The 25,085-nt window shown below is 34.0% G+C and overlaps 1 annotated feature.

The window, feature by feature from the left end:
- Positions 2,726–3,439: an enhancer, noted in NCBI's record as "OCT4-NANOG hESC enhancer chr8:115461867-115462580 (GRCh37/hg19 assembly coordinates)". NCBI's record gives its function as "activates a minimal SCP1, AML or CMV promoter by ChIP-STARR-seq in naive H9 embryonic stem cells {active_cell/tissue: H9 hESC(naive)}" and the evidence as "EXISTENCE:reporter gene assay evidence [ECO:0000049][PMID:30033119]".

Here is a 25,085-nt window from a genome sequence, read left to right as displayed (position 1 = left end):
TACAGCAAGAGTACTTGAAGAATACCACCCAACATCACACCTTCCATATTTTGCTCAGAGTCACATTCTCTCCTTATTGAATTTCCTGAGTTAAAGAAGAGTGGATGGGGCTTCATGCCACATGCCCTTAGCTCTTGAATTCTCCCTTGCAAATAATGGCCTCAGAGACGTCTCAAGACTTTTCCAAATTTATTTACATATTTTTTCACTCATTAACTTGGAGAGGGAATAAAAACACAGTCCCACATTTTTAGGGCAGTAGACTGAATTCATATAGGTTGATATATCCAGTACCTCAAATACCTAGTTTAAAGAAGACCAGTGATTACACCTTCAGATAACAAGATAGTGAATTTTCTTCAGTGTGTATAGCAATGAGATAGTAAAAGAATGTTACCTAGAGAGGATGTGGGCTAGAGAGAGAAATGCAAACAAATCATAGCCTATGGAAACTTTTCATAAACACTAAGTGAAGATCTGGAGCAGCATGGGCAAGGCATTTGGCATCCCACTTTCTTACATTGTTTGTTCTCCACACTTTCTGGGTGATAGTCAAAAACATCAATTAATATTGCAGCATATATAATAAAAAATAAAGGCAGAAAACAAAAACTAAGAAAACAAACATAATAACAGCAATCATCAAAAGTTTCCTTCCAACCCATACCAACTCCAGCCATTGCCTGTTCTCTGTGATGTGACAGTATATGAATCATGAAATTAAGAAAATAACTTGTCAGTTTTTTTCTAAACTAGACAACATAAGCCTTCATTTTTATAACATAGTTGACCAATCAAATAATTATTAAATTGCCAGTATGGTAAAAGAGCGAAGAATAAAAATAAAAATTTGAAATTACGGAATAAATTCACAAAAAAGTACAGATTGATTATCAAAAATCCAAATTCTTAAACCTTGGTGTTAATCATAAAGCTGTACATTAAAACAGATTTAATCAAACAAATGCCTAAAAATGTGTAATTGGAACACACTATGTAATTCCTTTGCGTATGGTCTGTAGCTGACTTCATACTACAAGAGCAGAGTAGTAGTTGCAAAGGAGATTGTATGTTCCGCACTGCCTAAAACTTTTACAATATGGACCTTCATTGAAAGAGTTTGCCAACCCCTGCCATAGTGCAACAATTCATGTACTTGTGGCATTTAGTGTTTCTATAAGCTAGAGATGATGTCATAAGCTGTGTCACTGCATATTTCCTTTATCTTTCCCTTTAATGTGTTTGTACAGTAGCTAAATATTTTCATCAAACAAGAAATAGTCTGAATTGCAGTGAATAAAGCAGGAAAAAAATACTAATAATTTTGAAAACATCACCTCAAAACATTTGCACATAATTTTACATACCATAGTTCACTCTTCGTGAAATAAGCCCTGATATCCAGCATACTTAAGCACTAAGATACTCATTTCATCATTTATTTATAAGATAAAAATTTAGAAACAGCTTCAATATCTGACAATGCAGAAAATCTTCAAAATACTCTAAATTACTTTTACAGAGTAGTTAATTCTATGCTTATATAAAGGTTATGGCAATAGAAAAAATTATATTAAATTATACCTAAGCCCATCAATCATGCACAGGATGACATCTGACCAGAAGTAACTCTTACTAGTTTACCAGAGGCCGTCTACAGAATGGCCTGCTTGTGACCCTGTTTCTAGGAGAGACTTTTCCATGCCTCATAGCACAGATGTCTGGGTTTTCTATTATGTTTTAATTAAATTATTAGTGTGGATTGAAAGCTGTAGTTTGATGAAAATTTTAGATTTGGCTGGAAGCAATCGTATAGTTTACTATCAAACATAAAGTGCTTGTCAGAATGTTTATTTTGTTAGACAGTTAAGCACTCTTTTACAAATTATTTTCATTAATACATAATAGCATTTATTTATGGGATATATGTGATATTTTGGCACAAACATACAATGTGTCATGATCGTGTCATGATCAAGTCATCATATTTAGAATATCCATCACCTCAAGTAGTTATCATTTCTTGGTGTAAATAAACACTAAAATATGTACAGCCTACATAAACATCAAGTTCTTCATGTTTTTATCTATTATTCTTGCAAATAACCTGCAAATAACCTGTACTAATAGTCTATTTTCATTTTTGTTCTGTTATATGTTCTCCTGGAAAAATGTATGCACACTCTAAGCTTCTCTAAATTACCTTTTCTTGACACAGTAATTTATCAAAACTAATTTTGATAAGACTAGTAAAGCTAATATGGTAATCTCCCTTTATAAGTATTTTTATTTCCACAGTTTCAGTTATCCTCAATCAACCAGGGTCTGAAAATATTAAATGGAAATTCCCAGAAATATGTAATTCATAGGTTTTAAATTGCACACTGTTCTGAGTAGCACAATGAAACTGCATACCCATCCTTATCTGTCCTGCCTGGGACATAACTCATCCCTTTGTCCGGGGTATCCAGACTGCATACTCTATTTGTCATTGACATCATCTGCTCCTGGCATCCAATCATCAACATTATGGCTTGCTGTTCCAGGATTACCCAAAGCAGATGATTCCTCCTTCTTATGTATTTTCTGTAGTATGTCACAATGCCTGTGTCGTTCACCTTACCTCATCTCATCATGTTGACATTTTATCAATTTGTATCATCACAAGAATGGTGAATACAGTACAATAAGATATTTTGAGAGAGACCATACTCACATAACATTTATAAATTAAATCAATAATAAAATAACATTTATTATTGGCATGTAATACAGGTAAAAACCTGGCATATATAAGATTTGGTACCAACTTCATTTTCAAGCATCTACTGAGGGTCTTGGAAGGTATGTTCTCCAGTTAAAGAGGGTACTACTGTGCTACTGAGTGGCTAAATTTTCTCATCACCCATCCCATTAGTATGTTTCCAATTCTTTTTCAAGCCTTAAGGGGGGAGAGACTTTTTTCCCAAGCCTTAAGGGGGAAGTAGGAATTGTGGGCACCTGATACCCCTGCATATTATGTGTTTCTATCACTGAATGCTCAACCTATCTCTAATCTGTCTGAGATACAATCAGGCATGATTACCGAACAATGGAAACTCATTAAGTGTTCTTAGTCTCTAGGCAACCACAGCTGTCAATCAGTGGAGCTTGAAAAGAACCTTTTCAAATATTCTTAAAAAAAAAAAAAAAAAAAAAAAAAAAGAATACCTTCTTGAATATCTTCACTTTTCTCCAAGACCATTATTTTTAAGGCACTTTTTAGCCCAGAACTAGATTGTTGTTACTGTTGTCTAACTAATTTTTTTAAAGTCAACTTTTCTTTCAGATTCAAGGGGTACATGTGCAGGATTGTTACATGGGTATAATGCATGATGCTTAGGTTTGGGATACAAATGATCTTGTCATCCAGATAGTGAGCATAGCACTCAACAGTAAGTTTTTTAACGCTTGCCCTCCTCTCTCCCTCTTCTCTTTATTAGTCCCCAGGTCTATTGTTGCCATCTTGCGTCACATATTCTTGCCTTCTCTCTTCTGAAAAATTAAATACCTTAGGGTTACTATGAAAATTCTCTATATATTTATGTCTATATTAGCCCTTATTTATATGCTGTACTTTTTGTTATCTGTCTTTATTACCAAATACAATCTTGGTTCTATAAAGCCATGAACATTTTAATTTTATCCCAAAATGACAAAAATATCTGAAAGGTAAGTACTCAATAAATAATTCTATCATGGGACAAATATGAGTCGAAAGGATGGATAATAGGATGAAGTGTAAACTCTTTTTATGCTTTCTAATAATCTGTCTCATGCTAGGGAACAAATCTCCACGAGCATGTCATATTGCTGTATAGATTTGCTGAGCAAAGGGCACTGACCACTTTTTAAAGGAAATTAGCATAATAAACATTCTTGGACACAAGAAATAGTGTCTCCCTTCTAGTTTGTGGGTAGGCTTATTTTCTGAACAGTATCATAATGAAAGTATTTTCCCGTCTCCAAAGTCATTTCAGGATAATAAATTTACCCTCCTCTTCTCAAAGAGGATTGAAGACTAAAGATAAATTCCCATTTTTTCCCCCTAGAAGGAAGAATGGACCAGACACCAGAAGCCCTTATGTGACATCAGAACCAGATCCTAATTTCAGATTTCCTCTTCTATAATACTTACCACTGCATGTATGGGTAACATTTAACACTTTTTATAACATTGCAAGAGGATCACGGATTGGGGATCTAGGACTGATTATATTCTGACTGCCACTTCTGCCATAAGTAATACAGTGTTTGTGTTTCTAGTCTTATGTCTTTGCAAGTACAGCAAAGGCTCAGACCTTCACAGTTCCTAACTCAACAGACACAATCTACCATGTTAATATAATCTGCAACCCTCATTCTTAATTATTTAGGCATTGTACGCACTGTTCATGTAAAGCATTTCCCTGAATACTGGCACAGATTTTTTAAAATAGACTTTTTAATTTTGAAATAATTGTATATACATGTACAGAATAAAAAACACAAGGAGATTCTATGTTCATCTTGCTCAATTTCCCAAATGATATCTTGTAAAACTATGGTATACAATATCACTACCAATATATTCCATTGATAGAATCCACTAATATTACTCAGATATATTTGATTGTACCTGTATTTATTCATGTGTGTCTGTGTGATTTTAGTTCTATATGATTTATCACATGTGTAGGCTTATATAAATTACAGGGGTCAAAGTACACAATAGTTCCATTGCTACAAGGATCCCTTCCACAGCTCTTTCATAATCACAACCAATTACACCACAGATAATAATCCATTCTCAATTTCTATAATTTTGTCATGTCAAGAATATTATATTAAGGAAACAATACAGTTAATAATTTTGGGGACTGGCTTGTTTACACTCTGCATAATTCCCTGAAGGTTCATCCAAATTGTAGCATGTGTTCAGTTGTTTATTCTCTTTTATTGCTGAGTAGTATTCTAGGATATGGGTATAATACAGTTTGTTTAACCATATATCCATGTAACCATGTATATATCCAAATGCCCAAGAATAACATTTGTGTTGTTTCCAGTTTGGACCTATTATGACAAAGATGTTACAAACATTTATGTACACACAGATTTTATTGTAAACATAATTTTCAATTGTCCTGGGACAAATGTACATGAATGCAACTACTAGGTCTTATTAATTGCATGATTTTTTTAATTATTAAGAAATTATCAAATTGCTTTACAGAGTGACAGTACCATTTTATATACCCATTAACAATATATGACTAATCCCATTTGCACAAATTCTTATAAGCATTTGGTGGTGCTTTTATATTAGCCATTGTGATAGATGTATTGTGATATCTCATTGTAGTTTTAATTTTCAGTTACCTAATGGATAAAGATATTATATTTATATGTGCTGCTTTGCCATCTTTATATTCTTATTTGTGAAATATCTGTTTATGTCTTTTGCCCATTTTATAGTTGGAGTGTTTGTTTTTTGCTGTCTACTTTTCAGAGTTTCTTTGTGTATTTCTGATACTCACAATTTTATATGTGCTTTGCCAATTGATATAATTATGTGATTTTTCTCTTTTGGTCTATTGACATGATGGATTACATTATTTGATTTTCAAATGCTGAACCAACCCTACTACCTGGAAAAATCTTGCTTGGTCAATAAATTACTGAATCAATTTGTCAATATTTTGTTGAGAATGCTCACATGTATAATTATGAGAAATACAGGCCTGTATTTTATTTTTTGTATGGGTTTTGTTTGTCTATTTTTGGCATAGGAATAATATGAGTCCCATAAAATAAGTTGGGGGATATGCCTTCCTCTTCTATTTTCTGTTACAGATTGTATAATATTGGTATTAGTTCTTCCTTAAATGTTTGATGAAATTCTCCAGTGCAGCAGCTTAGGCATGACCAGGAACTTAATTATAAATTTAATTCTTTCTATGGTTATAGAAGTATTCAAATTGCCTATCTCAATTAGGTTTGGTTAGTTTGTGTTTTTTGAAAGAATTGTTCCATATTTTCTAAGTTTTTGAATGGATGAGCATAAAGTAATTTACAGTATTCTTATTCTTTAAATGAATAAAGTATATATAACAATATTTTTGTTTATACTTGATATTAGTAATTTGTCTTTTTTGCAATTTTAACTTTTAGTTTAGATACAAGAGGTATACGTGCAGGTTTGTTACATGGGTATATTGTATCCAAGTAGTGAGAATACATGTGAGCATTCTCAACAAAATATTGACAAATTGATTCAGTAATTTATTGACCAAGCAAGATTTTTCCAGGTAGTAGGGTTAGTTCAACATTTGAAAATCAAATAGTGAAACCCATCAAGTAGGTTTTCAAACCATGGCTGTCTTGGTTTCTTCTTCCTTTAGTAGCCTGCAGTATCCATTTTTCACATGTTTATATCCATCTGTGGTCAATGTTTAGCTCCCACTTATAAGGGAGAACACGTGGTATTTGGCTCTCTGTTCCTGCATTAATTCACTTAGGATTATGGCCTTCATACTGCAATCTAAAGGCATAATAACTAACAATCCATGTTGCAGCAAAGGACATGATTTCATTCTTTTGTCATGGCTGCATAGTATCCCATGATGTATATTTACATTTTCTTTATGCAGTTGGCCACTGATGGACAACTAAGTTGATTCCACATCTTTGCTATTGTGAATAGCACAGTGATGAACATACAAAAGCATATATCCTTTTGGTATAATCTATTTTCCTTTTGATATGCACCACATAATGGCATTGATGTGTCAAATTGAATTCTGTTTTAAGTTCTTTGGGAAATCTCCAAACTGCTTTCCATAGTGAGTGAATGAATTTATGTGCCACCAACAGTGTATAAGCCTTCCTTTTTTCTCTACCACCAACAGTGTATAAGCCTTCCTTTTTTCTCTACCACCTTGTGAGCATCAGTTATCTTTTTGACTTTTAATAATAGCCATTCTGGCTAATGTGACATGGTATCTCATTGTAGTTTTGATTTGCATTTCTCTGACGAGAAGTAATGATGAAAACAAACAAATGTATTTGTTGACTGCTTGTATGTCTTCCTTTGAGAAGTGTCTGTTCATGTCACTTGCCCATTTTTAATGGGATTATTTGCTTTTTGCTAATTGATTTAAGTTCCTTATGGATTCTGTGTATTAGACCTTTGCTGGATGCATAGTGTGTGAATATTTTCTCCCATTCTGTAGATTGTCTGTTTACTCTGTTGATAGTTTCTTTTGCTCTGCAGAAGCTATTAAGTTGAATTAGGTTTCACTTGTCAATTTTTGTTTTTGTTGCAATTGATTTTGGTGACATAGTTAAAAATTCTTTACCAAGACCAATGTTGAGATGGGTATTTCCTAGGTTTTCTTCTAGGATTTTTTATAGTTTGAGATATTATATTTAAATATTAATGCATCTTGAGTTAATTTTTGCATGTGGTGTAAAGAAAGAGTCCAGTTTCAATATCCTGTGTATGGCTAGCCAGTTATCCCAGCACCATTTATTGAATAGGGAGTCTTTTCCCCATTTATTGTTTTTGTCAGCCTTGTCAAAAATCAAAGATCAGATGTTTGTTGGTGTGTGGCTTTATTTCCAAGTTTTATATTCTGTTGTCTTGGTCTGTGTGTTTGTTTTTGTACCAGATGCATGATGTTTGGTTTCTGTAGCCGTACAGTACAGTTTCAAGTTGGGTAGTGTGATGCCTCTGGCTTTGTTCTTTTTGCTTAGGATTGTTTTGACTATTCAGGCATTTTTTGATTCCATGTGAATTTTAGAATAGTTTTTCTTAATTCTGTGAAGAATGTCATTGGAAGTTTGATAGGACTAGTGTTTTGGCCAGTAGGGCCTTTTCACAATATTGATTCTTACAATCCATGAGCATGAGATTTTTTTTTTTTCATTTCATTTCTTTGTGTCATGTCTCATCTTCTTCAGCAGTGTTTTTAGTTCTTCTTGTAGAGATATTTTACCTCCTTAGTTAGCTGTATTCCTAAGTACTTATTCTTCTTTTTGGCTATTGTAAATAGGATGGTGTTCTTGATTTGACTCTCACACTGGACATTATTGGTATATAGAAATGCTAGTAATTTCTGTACATTGATTTTGTATCCTTAAACATCCCTGAAGTTTTTCACCAGTTCTAAGGGCCTTTTGCTGGATTCTTTAGAGTTTTCTAGGTATAGAATTATATCACTAGTGAAGAGAGACAGTTTGAGTTATTTTCTTATTAGGGTGCCTTTGATTCTTTCTCTCCTCTGATTGCTCTGGTTAGAACCAGTACTATGTTAAATAGGAACAGTGAGAGTAGGCACTCTTGTCTTGTTGCAGTTCTCAAAAAGGTTCCAGTTTTTGACCATTCAATATGATGTTGACTGTGGGTTTGTTATAGATAGCTCTTATTATTTTAAGGTATGTTCGTTTAGTGCCTAGCTTCTTGATAGTTTTTATCATAAAAAGATGTTAGATTTTATCAAAAGCTTTTTCTGCATCTGCTGACATCATCATATGGTTTTTGTTTTTAATTCTGTTTAGTGAATCACATTTATTGATTTCTGTATATTAAACCAACCTTGCATCCCAGGAATAAAGCCTATTTGGGAATTAACTTTCTGATGTGCTGCTGCTTTTGGTTTGCTAGAATTTTGTTGAGGATTTTTGTGTCTGTGTTTATCAGGGATATTGTCTTGAAGGTTTCTTTCTTTGTCATGTCTCTGCTAGATTTTTTATTAGGCTAGTGCTGGCTTCATGAAATGAGTTAGATAGGAGCACCACCTCCTTGAATTTTGGGAATAGTTTCAGTAGGATTTGTACCAGTTCTTTTTATGTCTGATTGGATTTATCTATGAGTCCCTCTAGCCCAGGCTTTTTTGGTTGGTAGGATTTTATTATTATTATTATTAATATTATTATTATTATTATTAATTACTGATTCAATTTCAGAGCCCCATATTGGTCTATTCAAAGTTTCTATCTCTTCATGATTCAATTGTGGAAGATTGTATATTTCTAGTAATTCCTTTTTTTTTTTTGGAATTTCTGATTTGTGCGCATAGAGTTACTTATAGTATTCTCTGAGAAGCTTTTGTATTTCTGTGGTATTAGTTGTAATGCTGTCTTGGTCATTTCTGATGTATTTATTTGTATCTTCTCATTTTTTTCTTTGTTAATCTAGCTAGCACTCTATCAATCTTGTTTTAGTTTTTGTTTTGAAAAACCTATCCTTTGTTTCATTGATACTTTGTATGGATTTTGGCATCCAATTTTATCAAGTTATCTAATTATGAGTATTTTTTTTATTCTATTAGCTTCTTGGTAGGTTTTTTTTCTTGTTTCTTTAGTTGCAACATCAGATTATTAAGAAATTGAGATGTTTCTAACTTTTTGGTGAAGACATTTAGGGCAATAAATTTTCTTTTTAACATTCTTTAGCTGTATCCCAGATATTTTGGTAAATTGTATCCTACTTTCATTAGCTTCAAATTTTTAAAAAAATTCCTGGCTTTATTTTAATGTTCACCCAGGAGTTCTTCAGGAGCAAGTTGCTTAATTTCCATGTATTTGTTTAGTTTTGAGAGATCTTCTTGATTTTTATTTCTACTTTTATTGTACTGTGGTTCAAGAGTATGCTTAGAATAATTTTATTTTAAAAAATTATTGAAACTTGCTTTATGATGGAGCATGTGGTCGATCTTAGGATATGTTCCATGTGCAGATTAGAAGATTGTATATTCTGTGGTTGTTGCCTGTAGTGTTTTATAGGTGTCTATGAGGCACAGTTGATTAAGAGAACAGTTTAGGTCCAGAGATTCTTTGTTAGCTTTCTGTCTTGAAGATCTAATGCTGTCAGTGGGGTGTTGAAGTCTCTCACTATTACTGTGTGGTTGCCTAAGTCTCTTTATAGACCAAGAACTTGTTTTATAAAGCTGATTGCTCCAATGGTAGGTGCATATATACTTAAGACACTTAAGTCTTCTTCTTGTATTGTATGCTTTAACATTATACAATGCTCTTCATTGTCCTTCTTTATTTTTATTAGTTTAAAATCTGTTTTATGTAATATGAGAATAGCAACTCCTACTTTTTTTTCTTTCCATTTGCTTGGTAGATCTTTCTTTAACCCTTTACTTTGAGCCTGTGGGTGTTGTTAGAAGTGAGCTGGGTCTGCTGAGGAAAACAGATGGTTGGGTCTTGTTTTTTCTTTTTCTTTTTTTCTTTTCAGGTTGTCACTCTGTCTTTTAAGTGGGACAATTAGTCCATTTCCATTCAAGGTTAGTATTGTTATGTGTGATTTTTATCCTGTCATTTTGCCGTTAGCTGGTTATTATATAGACTTGACTGTGTGATTGCTTTATAGTGTCTGTGTGCTATGTGCTTAAGTGTGTTTTTGTGGTAGCAGATGTTGTTCTTTTGATTTCATGTTCAGCCCTCCCTTAAGGACCTCTTTAAGACTTTTCTGTTTGAAATGAATTCCCTTGGCATTAGCTTGTCTTAAAAAAATTTTTACTACTTTACTTATGAAGCTTAGATTGTCAGGATATGAAATTCTTGGTTGGAATTTCTCTTCTTTAAGGATACTGAAAATAGGCCCCCAATCTCTTCTGGCTTGTAATGTTTTTTGCTGAGAAGTGTGCTGCTAGCCTAATGTGTTCACTGTCTATGTGACTTGACCTTTCTCTCTAGCTGCCTTTAAAATTTTTTCTTTTGCATTGACCTTGGTGAATCTGATGAACACGTGCCTTGGGCGTGGTTGTCTTGTATACTATTTAGCCAGGGTTCTCTGTATTTCTTGGATTTTCTAGTCAACCTCTCTAGCAAGATTAGGGAAATTTTTATGGACTGTATCTCCAAATATATTTTCCAAATTACTTATTCTCCTCTCTCAGGAATGCCAATCATTCATATATTTAATCTCTTTATATAATCTCATTTTTTTGGTAGTTTTGTTCATTTTTTTAAAATTCTTTTTTCTTTATTTTTGTCTGTCCGAGTTGATTTAAAGATCCACTCTTTGAGCTCTGAGAATGTTTTCCTCAGCTTGGTCTATTCTGCTGTTAATACTTTGACTGTATTATAAAATTCTTATAATGACTTTTTAAGTTCTAGAAATTTAGTTTGGTTCTTTCTTGAAATACGTCATCTTTCAGCTCTTGGATTGTTTTACTGTATTCCTGGATTCCTTGGGTTGAGTTTCAGCTTTCTTCTGAATCTTGATCTGCTTCCTTGCCATTCGAATTCTGAATTCTGTGTCTATTATTTCAGTCATTTCAGACTGGTTAAGAACTATTGCTTGGGACTTGTTTGGAGGTAAGGAGACACTCTGGCTTTTTGAATTGCCAGAGTTCTTGCATTGATTCTTATCTGGGAGGGTTGATGTTCCTTTTACTGTTGTGTAAGGTGAATACAGTCAGTTGGCTTCATTTCTGGGCTCTTTCAGAGGCTCTAAGACATTTACATGTGAGTGAATTATTGTGCTTTGTTTCACAGATGTATATATTATCAAAATAATTTTGGTGTTATGATTTGGGCTGTGATCCAGCAGATGATGCTTAAGATTGATGGCCTGTAGCTAGGCTAATACCCAGCTACAGGGCTCTTTTGTACTTCCTCAAATTCACAAGCATGCTCTGCTGTAGGGGGTGGAGAGAGATGATCCTATCACCAGGTTCATTTTGGACCTTGGGGGAGCCTCCTCTGATTGCTGGCGCTGTACCCGTGCTTCTTTTGTTAGGTGTTCTGGGTGATGGGGCTTCCTGGAGCAGAGGCATAGCAGTGAGATATGCCACACCCTTTCTGAACTGACTCTGAGGAGGGAGGCATGCCCTGCTCTCGCTCCAGCCCAGGAACCTGCACATCTCACCCCTCTCAGTGCTCTGAAGGTGGGGACTCCTCCCATGCTTGAGTGCCTGCTATAGATCTTGGTTGTACTCTGAAGTTGTGTGCCCTAGCCCTAAAGGCACTTGAACTTCCAGCAGCTCAAGGTTGTACTGGGGGATCTGATGTGCCCCCGTGTCACCAGTAAAGTACTCAGGTGGAGCAACACACTGAGGCTAGGTTGTGGAGGCAGGCTGTGCAACTGCTCCTGTGGGGCAGCTAAGCATGGGCCCCGGGAGGGGCTGGTGGGCAGAAGGGTTTGCAGAAGAAGTGCAACCCAGTCCTGTGGTGAAACGGGCCCCACTCTCTCCCGTCTCACAGGTCAGCTGTGGCTAGCACCTCCTAGAGGTATATGGGGACCCCTGGAGGATGGACATCTATGGCTGCTCTCTGCTTCATCTACCCAGGGCACAAAAATCTCCCAGGCTCCACGACAAGTGAAGGGCTGTGTCTGCTCCCTGAGATGACCCTCTCAGCTCACAAATCCATGAGGAACATGGGTTCCTCTGTAACTAGGATCCCGGAGGTCCATGGTGAGAATGAGCTATCCCTCACTCACCCCTTTCCCAGGAGCTTCTCTGCTGGGGACCTAGCCCTAAAGTTCATGTACCCCCTGGAGGATTTCCAGCTTCCTCCTTCTTCAGTCTTCAGCTTTAGCATTGCCTCTCCATCCATTCTCAGTGTTTTCTCTCTGAAAGTCTGATTAAAATATGGTGGTTTACTCAATAATTTGGTCTTTCTTGGTGGGAGCAGCACCCCCCGGCGTGTCTAGTCCACCATCTTGTCTCTATGGAAGCAAAGCAAAATAAATTCCGTTCCCTATGAACAAGCACTATTTCCCATGGCACCACAGGAGTACATGTGGGGGTGGGAGAGGCTCTAGGAAGCAACAATGAACACACCTAATTTGTCTCTCCTTCTCCTTCTCTTTCTTCTTCTTCTTTTTTTGCTGGCCTTTCACTAATTTTAAAATATATATATATATATATATATATATATATATATATATATATATAGCTTTGTATTAGTCCGTTTTCACACTGCTGATAAAGACATACCTGAGACTGTGAAGAAAAAGAGGTTTAATTGAACTTACACTTCCACATGGCTGGGGAAGTCTCGGGATCATGACAGGAGGCAAAAGTCACTTCTTACATGTCCATGGTAAGAGAAAAATGGTGAAGATGCAAAAGCAGAAACCCCTGATAAACTCATTAGATCTCATGAGACTTACTATCATGAGAATGGCACAGGAAAGACTGGCCTCCATGATTCAGTTACCACCCCATGGGTCCCTCCCACATCATGTGGGAATTCTGGGGGATAAAATTCAAGTTGAGATTTGGGTGGGGACGTGGGCAAACCATATCAGGCTTAAATTTGCCATTTTAATTTTTCTTTTTTTTTTTGCTTTTCTTTCTTTTGTTTGTATCATGACTTTCTATATTTGTAATTTTATTAATTTATGCTGTCTACATTATTCCTTTCCTTTACCTTGCTTCAGGTTTATTTTGCTTTCTTTCTTCTGGTTCATGAGGTAGAAAATAAACCCATTGATTTGATACTTTTGCTCTTTTCTAGTGTAAGCATTTAGTGTTAGAAAATTTTCTCTGAGCATTGTGTTAGCTATATCACACATATTTTATATGACATATTTTATTTGATTCAGTAATATGTGCATTAAAAATCTTTATTTATGATTATCCTGTTACTCTTATATTGTTTTGAAAGTATATGGTTTAATTTCTAAGATCTTGAATGTTTTCCTGTTGTTGTTCTGCTATTTACCTCTAGTTTGACTTCATTATGGTCAGAGAGCCTACTCAGTAATATTCAGAAACACCACCATGGGGAGTCCCTAGGACTTTCTTTTTTAGCTGTCATAAATCTGGACTGGGTACTAGAAAGATCTGAAGTTAGAAGCACCAGCATGAATAGACAAAAAGAAAAACAAAAAATGAAAACAAGAAAAGCTCACTCTATCTGTCCAGAGGACTGGAATAAAGGAAGCCCAGGAGAAAGTTAGTGGGAAGACCAATGCCGAGTGGCTGCAGTGGGCCTCATCTGCCTGCAGCAATGGCAGAAGCAAAGTTTTAGGGACCAAATCCACATCTAGCTTCAACAGCAGACCTGAGCTGCCTATAGCAGAGGCTACAGAAGATACCAGGCAGACCAACTCACTTCATGCTTCACATGCACTGCAACAATTGTCTTATTTGCTTATAGCAGTGTCCATAGTGAAAAACGCCCGCTGTAAGCATCAGACTCCTTCACACTTCTAGCACCAGAAGGATCAGTGTCTTACAGGTCTTCATACAGTAGCAGAATGTGACTCAGATCCTGTCTGCTAGTCCTCCAGACAACAGCAAAGAGCCACACAGACTAAGTAGTTCCTGAACCTCCATCAAGCAGCAGAAGATCATTCAGGGCATGTGTCTCCTCGCCGCTGCCCAAGGGCAGACAGCAAACCAGGCCTGGTGTCTCTTAACCCTCGACTTAGTGTGAAGCAGGCTGGATTCTTTAGAACCCTCCACTCAGTGTCAGAAAACCACTTGGGACCCTGTAACCCTTGAACCTTCACCCTGGAGTAGAAGGCAACTCAAGTAAGTGCTTTCCTCCCCTAGGGACAAGAGGGATAGAGTGGATAGCCTAGTGACACCAAGTGGTGATAAAAGAGACCAGTGAAAACATTCTCCATTACACATGTCTAGCATTCCCTATCCCTCATCTAAAAACCCTCAGAGGCCCAAGGAAATGTCTTCTGCCCCCATGGCGGGGCAGTAGCATAAATACAATAGGAGCTCCAGTGGAAGCATAAGAACAAAGCCCCACAACAGTCCCCAGTGTGTGATGTTCCCCTTCCTGTGTCCATGTGTTCTCATTGTGGGGTGGGGGGAGGGGGGAGCGATAGCATTAGGAGATATACCTAATGCTAAATGACGAGTTAATGGGTGCAGCACACCAACATGGCACATGTATACATATGTAACAAACCTGCACGTTGTGCACATGTACCCTAAAACTTAAAGTATAATAATAATAAAATTAAAAAAAAAAGAAAAAAGCCTAGAGCAGCATTACAAGGGATAAGAAAACTAAATTGTCTTTGTAACAATAGCTCACAGACTAGGTCAGAACATACATACATGCTAGAGGGGCCAAATGATAAAAAAGAAAATTTAAATAAGATTGCCTACTAATGAGATATCTAAATTATTGGTAACACAACCAAAAATTATTCATCATATGAAGAACAAGGAGAAATACAATAGGAATGAGAAAAGACAATTAACTAAAGTTATTACTAACATGAATCAGATGTCGGAACTCTCTGACAAAGATTTTCTATCAAACACTGTAAAGGTGCTTGAAAAAGTAATTATATATTTCCTTGGAAAATTTTAGGAAAGAAATAAAAGTTATTAAAGCAACAACCATATGGAAATCATATCACTGAAAAAAAATTAATAATAAAAATGAAAAACTCACTGAGCCTATTAGTAGACTAGAGATGACAGAAGATAGATTTAGTGTGCTTGAGATGAATAGAATATTTCTAATCTGAAAAACAGAAAGTAAACTGGAAAAAAAAGAACAAAATTTTAGGGAGCTGTGACAAAATAACAGTTCCAATGTTTGTATTATCAGAGACCCAAAAGGGTAGGTGAAAGAATGTGAGGTTGAAAAATACTCAAAGAAATAATGGTTGACTACTTACCAAATTTGGCAAAAGGCTTATAAGTCTATCAATTTAAGAGGCTGAGTGAATGATAAATAGGAGGTATCCAAAGAAAGCTTTACCAAGAAACACAATAAATAAACTTTAGAAAAAAATACAGGCCAGGCACAGTGGCTCAAGCCTGTAATCCCAGCACTTTGGGAGGCCGAGGTGGGTAGATCATTTGAGGTGAGGAGTTCAAAACCAGCCTGGCCAACGTGGTGAAACCCCATCTCTACTAAAAATACAAACATTAACCAGGTGTGGTGGTGCGCACCTGTAGTCCCAGCTACTCAGGAGGCTGAGGAAGGAGAATCTCTTGAACCCAGGAGGTGGAGGTCTCAGTGAGCCAAGATCACACCACTGCATTCCAGCCTGGGCAACAGAGCAAGACTCTGCCTCAAAAAATAAAAATAAAATAAAAATACAAAGAAAAAAACTTGAAATCAAGTAGAAGAAAAAAATGTATTACTAAAGGGAAACACCAATTCAAGTGACAGTGCATTTCTCATCTAAAATCGCTGAGGCCAGAGGAAGTAGCATAACATTTATAAAAAGAATTTAGTAAAAATAATTATTAAAAGAGAGTCTTGATCCAGTGAAAATATCTTTCAGAAAAGAAGGGGAAATAAAGATAAGTATCTTAATATTCCTTTGCCTCTGAGACACCACGTCTGGTTTGCTGTCTGTCCTTGGGTAGAAGCTAGGAGACACATGCCCTGAATGATATTCTGCTGCTTGATGGAGGTTCAGCAACTATGTCTGTGTAGCTCTTTGCTGTTGTCTGGAGGATTAGGAGACAGGATCTAAGTCACATTCTGCTACTGTATGAAGAGCTATAAGACACTGATCCTTCTGGTGCTAGAAATGTGAAGGAGTCTGATGCTGACAGCAGGTGTTTTTCACTGTGGCCACTGCTATAAGCAAATAGGACAATTGTGGCAGTGTATGTGAAGCATGAAGTGGGTTGGTCTGCCTGGTATCTGCTGTAGCCTCTGCTATAGGCAGCTCCGGTCTGCTGTTGAAGCTAGATGTGGATTTGGTCCCTAAAACTTTGCTTCTGCCATTGCTGCAGGCAAATGAGGCCCGATGCAGTCACTGGGCATTGGTTTTCCCATTAAGTCCTTCTTGGGCTTCCTTTTCTAAAGTCTTCTAAACAGATATAGTGAGCTTTTCTTGCTTTCATTTTTTTTTCTCCTTGTCTATGCATGTAGGGGCTTCTAACTGCAGATCTCTCTAATACCCAGTCCAGATTATATGACAGATAAAACCCTAGGAACTCCTCATAATATTGTTCTTGAAGTCCTGAGGTTTATAACCATCCCACACCTTCTTCTTTCCATATTTCAGAGTCCTTTCATGATTGTATGTTGAATTGTTTCCAGTACAGTTGGTTGTATTTAGAGCAGAGCAGCAGGGAAATGTGTTTCTGCTGTGTTATCCCCACTGGGAAACTACACCTGACCATATTTTCTATGCTGTATCTTCAATTTTCTCAATTTCCTTAACACATAAAAACTTTTAATATGCAGTTAAAAATTCAAATTTCTACACAAGCTACTTTTCTAATTGTCATATTTCTTCCCTTACTTATTAACTTTCCAAAATTTTATGCTGTCAAATGTCAACTTTCCAGAGGAACATCAGAAGAATGTATTAATCAAGCAAAGCTAAGTGTTAGACTTATTGTAGTAAAAGGAAACACTATCTTTACAGGGTGTTAGTAGTGTCTGTAAAAGGATTAAAAACAATCCCCAATTTCCCTTGCCTTAATCTTTACCTCCTTGTAATTTTTTTATTCTTCTCTTTTTTTCTCTTCATTTTTTCTGTTATCTATGCTTCTTCTGAACTTTTAAAAATTATAAAGTTTGCAAAAATAGTTATCAAAATAATTGTTCTGAGAGTTTCCTGAATGGGATTGCACCAACAATCCTTACTAATAGGCATGAAAACCCAAAACAATTTTCAACTTTTATAACCATAGGTTTTGTAGCAGTAGAGTATAAGGAAAAGTGCTTTTCAGCTAAAACATAAAGACACATGCTTCTCTTTTCTAACTATGTAAATCCACAGTACTGCTTTGACTCAGGGGTTATTTGTATTTGGCCTTCAGCTGCTTCCTGATGCACATCAGCTGAATAAAGTCTTTAACTTTTGAATCACGGAAACTATTTTTTTCACTCCTGTCATATGTCAAGGTAAAAGAATAAAGCAAGGATGTTTACAGGATTTTGTCTTCAGCTGTGTTGTTTTTGATCTGTGTCTTGCAAAGTGGGGAACAGGTTGGGTATGGACCAATTTTATGACAATCACTTTGTACTGGTTGGCATAGCTAGTAGAAGATCTTGAGATGAGTCCTGAACCGTTCAACATGGTGTGTAATCTTCTCTTCCAGGGGCAAGCATTTGCTGGTGCAAACAGCTAAATTGTTATTTTATTTTTAAATGTTTCATCCTTGTATTGTTCAATAAAGATTCAGAAGAGTATACTTTGTCACATATTGTTTAATGTAATAATAGGTGTGGATCTAATATTATTTAATATAAGCCCTTGGAAAAAAATGTAAGTTTTGGCTTTATATCCATGTACTTATTGTAACACTGAAGTTCATTTATTATAATTATTTATAATTGTAATTATCATAATTACTATAATTACTACCTGACTAGGGCCAAAGCAACTGCCACACAGGACTTGCATTGCTTTCAAAGGAAGATTTCTCCTTAGTTTATACAGGTTCTCATGAAGAATTATCCTCAGAAGACTGCTAATCCATTGGCCAATGTTTTAGACACCTATGTCTCTAGAGGCTTGTGCAAGACAAAAACTGTTACCATATGATGCACGATATAACTAAGTTATAAATATTCTCTGTCTTGGATGGTAGATTTTCATTTTGTTTTGTTTTACTTTTCTGCTATATCTTACACAAATCAGTTATAAGTTTAGAGTCTTATGGGTTTCTTTGATTCCTTTGGGTTTTCAGTTTGTCTAAGCTGAGAAGCTAACAGTTTAACCTAATTCTTAAATTGGTCCCAGTCTCCTGGCCTGTCTACTTGACAGGAAAATTCAGTTCAAGCAAGTAAAAATACATTTAGCTTTTAATGTCTTAAAAACATTTGTATACGTATGGGAAAATTCAGCTATCCATGAAAAACACATGGAACCCAGCATCTTCAGCTGGGTCTTCCTCGATGTTCAAACACATTTTGTTTTAAGGGCTTAATTACCTAGGTAAAAATGACAGGATAACAATTATGCTAAGCATATAGAAATTAGAACTAAAATATTATATACCCTGAATATGACAAGTTTGCTTTAGCTACAAATAAAGGCACTTGTATATATTATTTGATGCATGATAGTATTAAAAATACTGAGGAAAGAGAAGACTGCTGATATAGCATTTTTGAGAATGAAAACTCTTAACTGGATTTCACACTATAAAAGCTGAAAATGTTTCAAAATTATATGAGATCATTTGCTACAGAGCTGTTAGAATACAGAATATTAACCATTTAGATCGTCTTGTCTTTAGTGTATTTTACCACTTATCTTAAAAGCAAATTTCTGCTGTTTGTTAAAAAAAGTCATTCCTTTGATATTCTGTTTTGAAAAGACTTATGGTTATAGAATAGAATATAAAATAACTCTTTAGCTCACGATTAAACTTACAGGAAAGATTGTTTCACATGGTTTTGAAAAAAATGCATTTATTAAAAATGTTCTTGATATACTATGAGAAATTTCATAAAATATGAATTTACAACAATGAAAATTGTAGATAATTTTAGTAAATTCACTTATATGCATTTTTATGTACTTATATACATTTATCCATGTATGTAAAGACACACACATATATACACACACTCTACAGCTATGGACACATATCTATTAGGTTGACAACCCAATTGTTCAAGGAAAGTTTTGATTTTTTAATGAATATCCAGATTGTAGGTAATACATACAATTGTCCATTTGTTAATTACACTGTATATTACTATTTAGATTATATTATTTATATTTTGACATTTAAATTAGTGTTATTATTAAGACTCGAATTACGAGTTTTCTTTCATTCTTATTGAGAATCCACGATGTCTTTTTTTGTAGATCCTTGTGCTAAGTCAGGGTTCTTCAGAGAAACACTACTAATGTATAGATACATAGATAAACAAGAGGACTTATTATGGGAATTGGTGCATGTGATTACAGAGTTGAGAAGTCCCATGACATACCCTCCACAATCTGGAGAAATGGAAAAGCTGGGGTGGTAATTTAGTCTAAACTATAAAGCCTGAGGACCAGGGGAGCCATGGTGTGTAACCAAAGGTCTGAGAACAAGAGGAGACGCTGGTATATGTTGCTGAGTGTGAAAACATTAGAACCTAAACTTCTGATGTCCAAAGGAAGGGGAAGATCAGTGTCCCAGCTCCAGAACAAAGAGAGAAACCAGCTTCCCTCTGCCTTTTGTTTTATCCAGGTCCTCAAGGAATTAGATGCAGCATCTAATTCCTAGTGTTCTAGGTCGTTGACTGGTGGAAACTATTTGCAGAGCCTTTTCCAGAGATGGGAGGAGTTCAGACAATGAATTGTTTCTCAGGGTTCAGTGTCTTCTGACCTAAAATGATGAATATTCCCTCAATATGGTTTATTTATGAGATTTGAAATTAAACTATGCAAAACATTTGTGCACTCTCAAGATGCTATATAATTCTGAGCTACTATTAATAGTCATAAAAATATACATAAAAGTATTCAAAATAATAAAAACTAATTTTCTTTGGAATGTGAAATTTCTATTTTTGCTAATTCACTTATCAATACAGTGTCAGCTGTTTTCTTAAATATATTTAATTTTAAAATATGAAAAAATAAATGTGAAAGCAGAAACCTTAAACAGCTTTATATTTATTTATTATTTACTGGATAAAGTCAAAACTTCTGAAAAGTAATGAGTATTAAGTGTCTGGCCAAAAGTCAAAAGAGATTTTACTCTCCTCACTGAGCCCCACGTAAATAATTGATCATATTTTTAATGTCATAGGTGAAAGATTCAGAAGTCTGACCCAGACTTTCTTTAAAAGTTTTCCAACAAAGCTCAAACAGTTCTCCTACCCCAATGAAACTAAATCAGCCTCACATACTAGCTCGTTTGGTTTCTTGACTTTCTTTTGATGAAGATACCTTTCATTCATAGAGTTAATTTAAAAAAAGTTTGCCTTAAATGTTCTCTGGAGATATAATCTGGCCACCATTTTCTTAGAGAAAAAGTGACTTTTCTTTTTTTCCCTCTTTTAAACTCAAAATGATTGTCACTGTGGATCTCAAATCATATTTCATTTTTCATTTGGATTGAAATGTGAGCATCCTTTATTTCCTAAGTGAAATACTACTAAGTGGCAAGCATGAGAACTTTCTAGTAGTATAAAGATATACAAAGTTTTTGAATAATATATTATATATTCATTTCATCATCTAATTTGCCAGAAGAGATATAAATTATCTCAGGTGGAAAATAATTTGCCTCATGTTGTCTTGTTATTTAAATGACGGTTTTAATCCATTTTTTCCCTTCCAAATTAAGGATAAACATCATTTAGAAATGGCCAATAATTTCAGACTGCTCAGGCAGGGATATTCAAGAGTCCTTTGAAGCAAATGCCTGGTATGTGCTAGAAATTGCATATTGTGTGCATAGACTAACATGCCATTATATTCCTTGACTTAAAGATCTCTCCCAGTTGAAATATCATGGGTGTTTACACCAAGTCTGTCAGCATAACCTAAGCAAAATCCCCTGGAATCACTTCACGTCTTTGTAGACTGTCTTTGGAAATGAGAAGTCTTTTGTATTATAAATGTGAGTTAATTTTTCATGTCATTAAATTTTTTATCCCTATGCTAAAATAGTAAGAAGGAAATCCCTTAGGCAAGATATCCAAGTAACATAAATTAAAAGAAAATTAAAGCAAAATGGACTTAAAACTTAAGAGTAGATGGAGACAATATTGGCAATTTTGAAGGAAATATAAGGATGATAAAATATAGTAGACATATATTTTAAGAGCTGGGATTCAATATCAAAGCTGCCAAAAGACAAAACCTGTAAGTTTTTTGTCCCTTTGTCTATGTTTCTTTTCCCAAATCTTAAGAACCTAGATGGATCAATCAATTCTGAAGTCCCAGAACTATTATATTATACTTTTCATATTGCATATTGCATTTTATCTTATATTCTAGCCATTTGCATCCTTGTATGGTCTCCTAGTGTACTACAAAAGACTTGAAGATCAGGCAATGATTTTCATTGTTCTTGTGTTGTCATTTGGTTTCATTTGTTCAATGCTTTCATGCCTTTAGCACATAACTCAGTTACATCACATATACTGGGTTCTAAATAAATATTTGTTGAATTAATTCTTAGTAGATTATCTGGCCTTTGTCATTAATCCAAACCCTGCACATTGCTATATGTGCTATGTCTCAACCATATTATAGTTAATTGAGAACTAGTCTTCTATTGATTATCCCTTAAAGATACTAACATTTCTTAATATTTTATAAAAATTCTCCAGCATAGTTGGCATTTATTCATGGAAAATTTATATTTAGTATTGTTTTACAAAAGGGAATCCAAGGCATTTATTAGGACATTGTCACTTGTCAATGTAATCAGATTTGAAGTCATGTTAAGAATGGCAGAGGTAAAGTTAGTTGTAAATTCAAGATTTTTTTTAAAAAATTGCATTGTTTAAAGAACATACTAATTTAATTACTGAATTTTTATTTTTGAAATAATATTTCATTAAATCACAGATCAACTAATAACATTAAATTAAAATTTAAAACATCTGATTTCAATAAATGTATGCTTTCATTACTAAATAATAAGTAACTACTCGATCAGAGGTTTTTTTCCTCAAAATTTTATTTAGGCAAGACAAGTTTGCATCTAGGGTGTATAAAAGTAAATATTCATATGCTCTGAGATAAAAAAAGAACTGCTCAGTAAACTGAAATAATATAATATGCTCATGAACAAACTTGAAAACAATTTATCAAATAATTATTCTTTACAGTTTGAATGTTTTATATGTTTATGTTGAATTTATTTCATTTCATGGTCTAATGAGAAAACCTTTTTATTTCTTGCTTTCATCTGCCGATTTCAATCTCAATAAGATTTCTATTTAAAAATACTATGAATTGATAAACACTCTCATTTCATATCATGCTGAACCGATGGAGTCATCAAAATGAATGCCTTTTTTCTCATAATAACACTCACAAAGCAAATGTCCATAGGCATCTTGAACATGCAGTTTTACATTTTTGCTGAATTGTTTTAACTTTTTACTAAATAATACATACTTCAAATAAAAAGATAATTTTTCTCCTGGTCTCACTACACTTTTGTCCTTCCTTACTGGCCTCACCCATTAGAGGATAAAATGGAAATGTTTGAAGCGATGTCAAATATTCAAAAGGGTTTTTGTGGCATAAAAAATATCTCCTGATTAAAATGAAATAAGTTACATTTTTATTAAAGCGTTTTCTTTGACATAAGATATGTCTCATCTTTTTGACATAATTTCTACTCAAAATTTCTATTCACTTCTAACATGATGTTTTTACAATCTTCACTTTCCATGGTTGTGATATATGTGGATTTCAGTTACCATAATTTAGTAATTGACACCAGGCATTCAATAAGTGATTCAAATTTCACTATTTATCTTACTACTAACTTTCCTCTTTTTCTTAGTTTGCTAACATTTACCATCATCATTATTATTGGATATTGAGTTCTTGAAAATATATTTTCAATGCCTTTGGGAAGAAGATAGATTTTTCCTCTTCCTTTGTCTGTTAAAGATGTCAATTTCATTTATTTATGTTTAAATATTAAACCAGGTTTGTTTTCTTAGAATAAAGTTGATTATATGATGATGTAGTTTACCTGTTTATACATCTTTACATTTGGCTCATTAATATTTTAAGCTTTCATTTATTTTCAGAAAGACTATTAGGTTTTAATATACCTTTCTTATAATATCCTTGATTTTGCTATAAAAGATATGCTGCTTTCATAACGAGTAGGACTTGCTTCTTTTCCCTTTTTTGGAATAATGTATGATAATTTACATTATTCTAGGGACTTTAAAATTTTTATCTGAATATAATTTTCTTCAAATATTTATTAGTATATTCATTATTATATTTAAAAATGTATCCATGATCCATGTGATGACACTAGTTTTATTCCTAGTACTATTACTGTGTGCTATTTCTACCTTGAAAATCTCAATTTTTCTAGCATTTCATTAGGTTTTCCAAAGTACTAGTTTTTAATTTTGTAGCTCTATAGTATTTTAAGTTTCTAATTCATTAATCTCTTTTTGTCTTTTCATTTTCTATCACTTGGATAGGATTAATTTGTGGAAATTTTCTCTTTTTGAAGTGAACTTTTAAATAATTAATTTTACCCTTTCTTTTTCTAGTAGATTCATTTAAGATTTAAAAGTCTATTAAGTATGGCTTTAGCAGGATCCCAGAATTTTTAATATGTCATACTTTCAGTATTAACTTCAAACTGTTTCCTAACTTCAATTGATTTGTTATTTGACCCACTAGTAATTTTACAATGCATTGCTTAAGTTATTAAGATCTCAGCATTTCCTAATATTTAATTATTATTTTTATTCATTACTGTCTTAATTCCACTGAAATAGAGAATATGACCTGAATAACTTACTAATTCTTGAAAACTTTCGAGGCTTTATATTATAGCCCAAAATATGAATAATTTTGGTAAACATGCGACTTCAAAATATGTATTTTTATATTTTTAGGTGAAGTGAATAGATATGTGTGGGTTTTATATGTGTATACAAAAAAGGATATAGTTAAGTTGTTAATAATTTTAGTTAAATATTCTATAAAATTATTCATACTTTCTCTGCCTATTTTATCTGGTATTCACAGAGGTATTATGAAAATCTCCTGCTATGATTTGGAGTTTATCTGTTTTAATTCTGTCAATTTTTATGTTATATTTTGAAGCTGTGTTATTAAATGCAAACAAATTAAGTATTGTTTTATTACCTAAGTGGAAAAACATTATAAGCATTTTGTAATGTTTCTCTTTATTATAATGTTCCTTCATTTGTTACCTTTGTCTGATATTTATAAAACTAGACCAGTTTCTTTTTTATTGATATTTATATGATATGCTTTTTTCATTCTTTTATTTACAGTCTATCATAGCCTGCATAATTGTGTGTCTACTGTATCCTGTAATGCATTTTTAAAATTTTAATTTGTGAATATTTAATAATTCCCAGGAATATTTAGTCTATTTATATTTAATGTTAATCCTGACATATTTTGGATTCTATCCATCATTTTACTATTGATTTTCATATTATATATTCTGTGTATG

The sequence above is a fragment of the Homo sapiens genome, chromosome 8 (assembly GCF_000001405.40).
Source record: "Homo sapiens chromosome 8, GRCh38.p14 Primary Assembly".
NCBI classification, from domain to species: domain Eukaryota; kingdom Metazoa; phylum Chordata; class Mammalia; order Primates; family Hominidae; genus Homo; species Homo sapiens.
The sequence above is the reverse complement of the archived record's forward strand: the minus strand, read 5'-3'. Positions and strand labels throughout refer to the sequence as shown.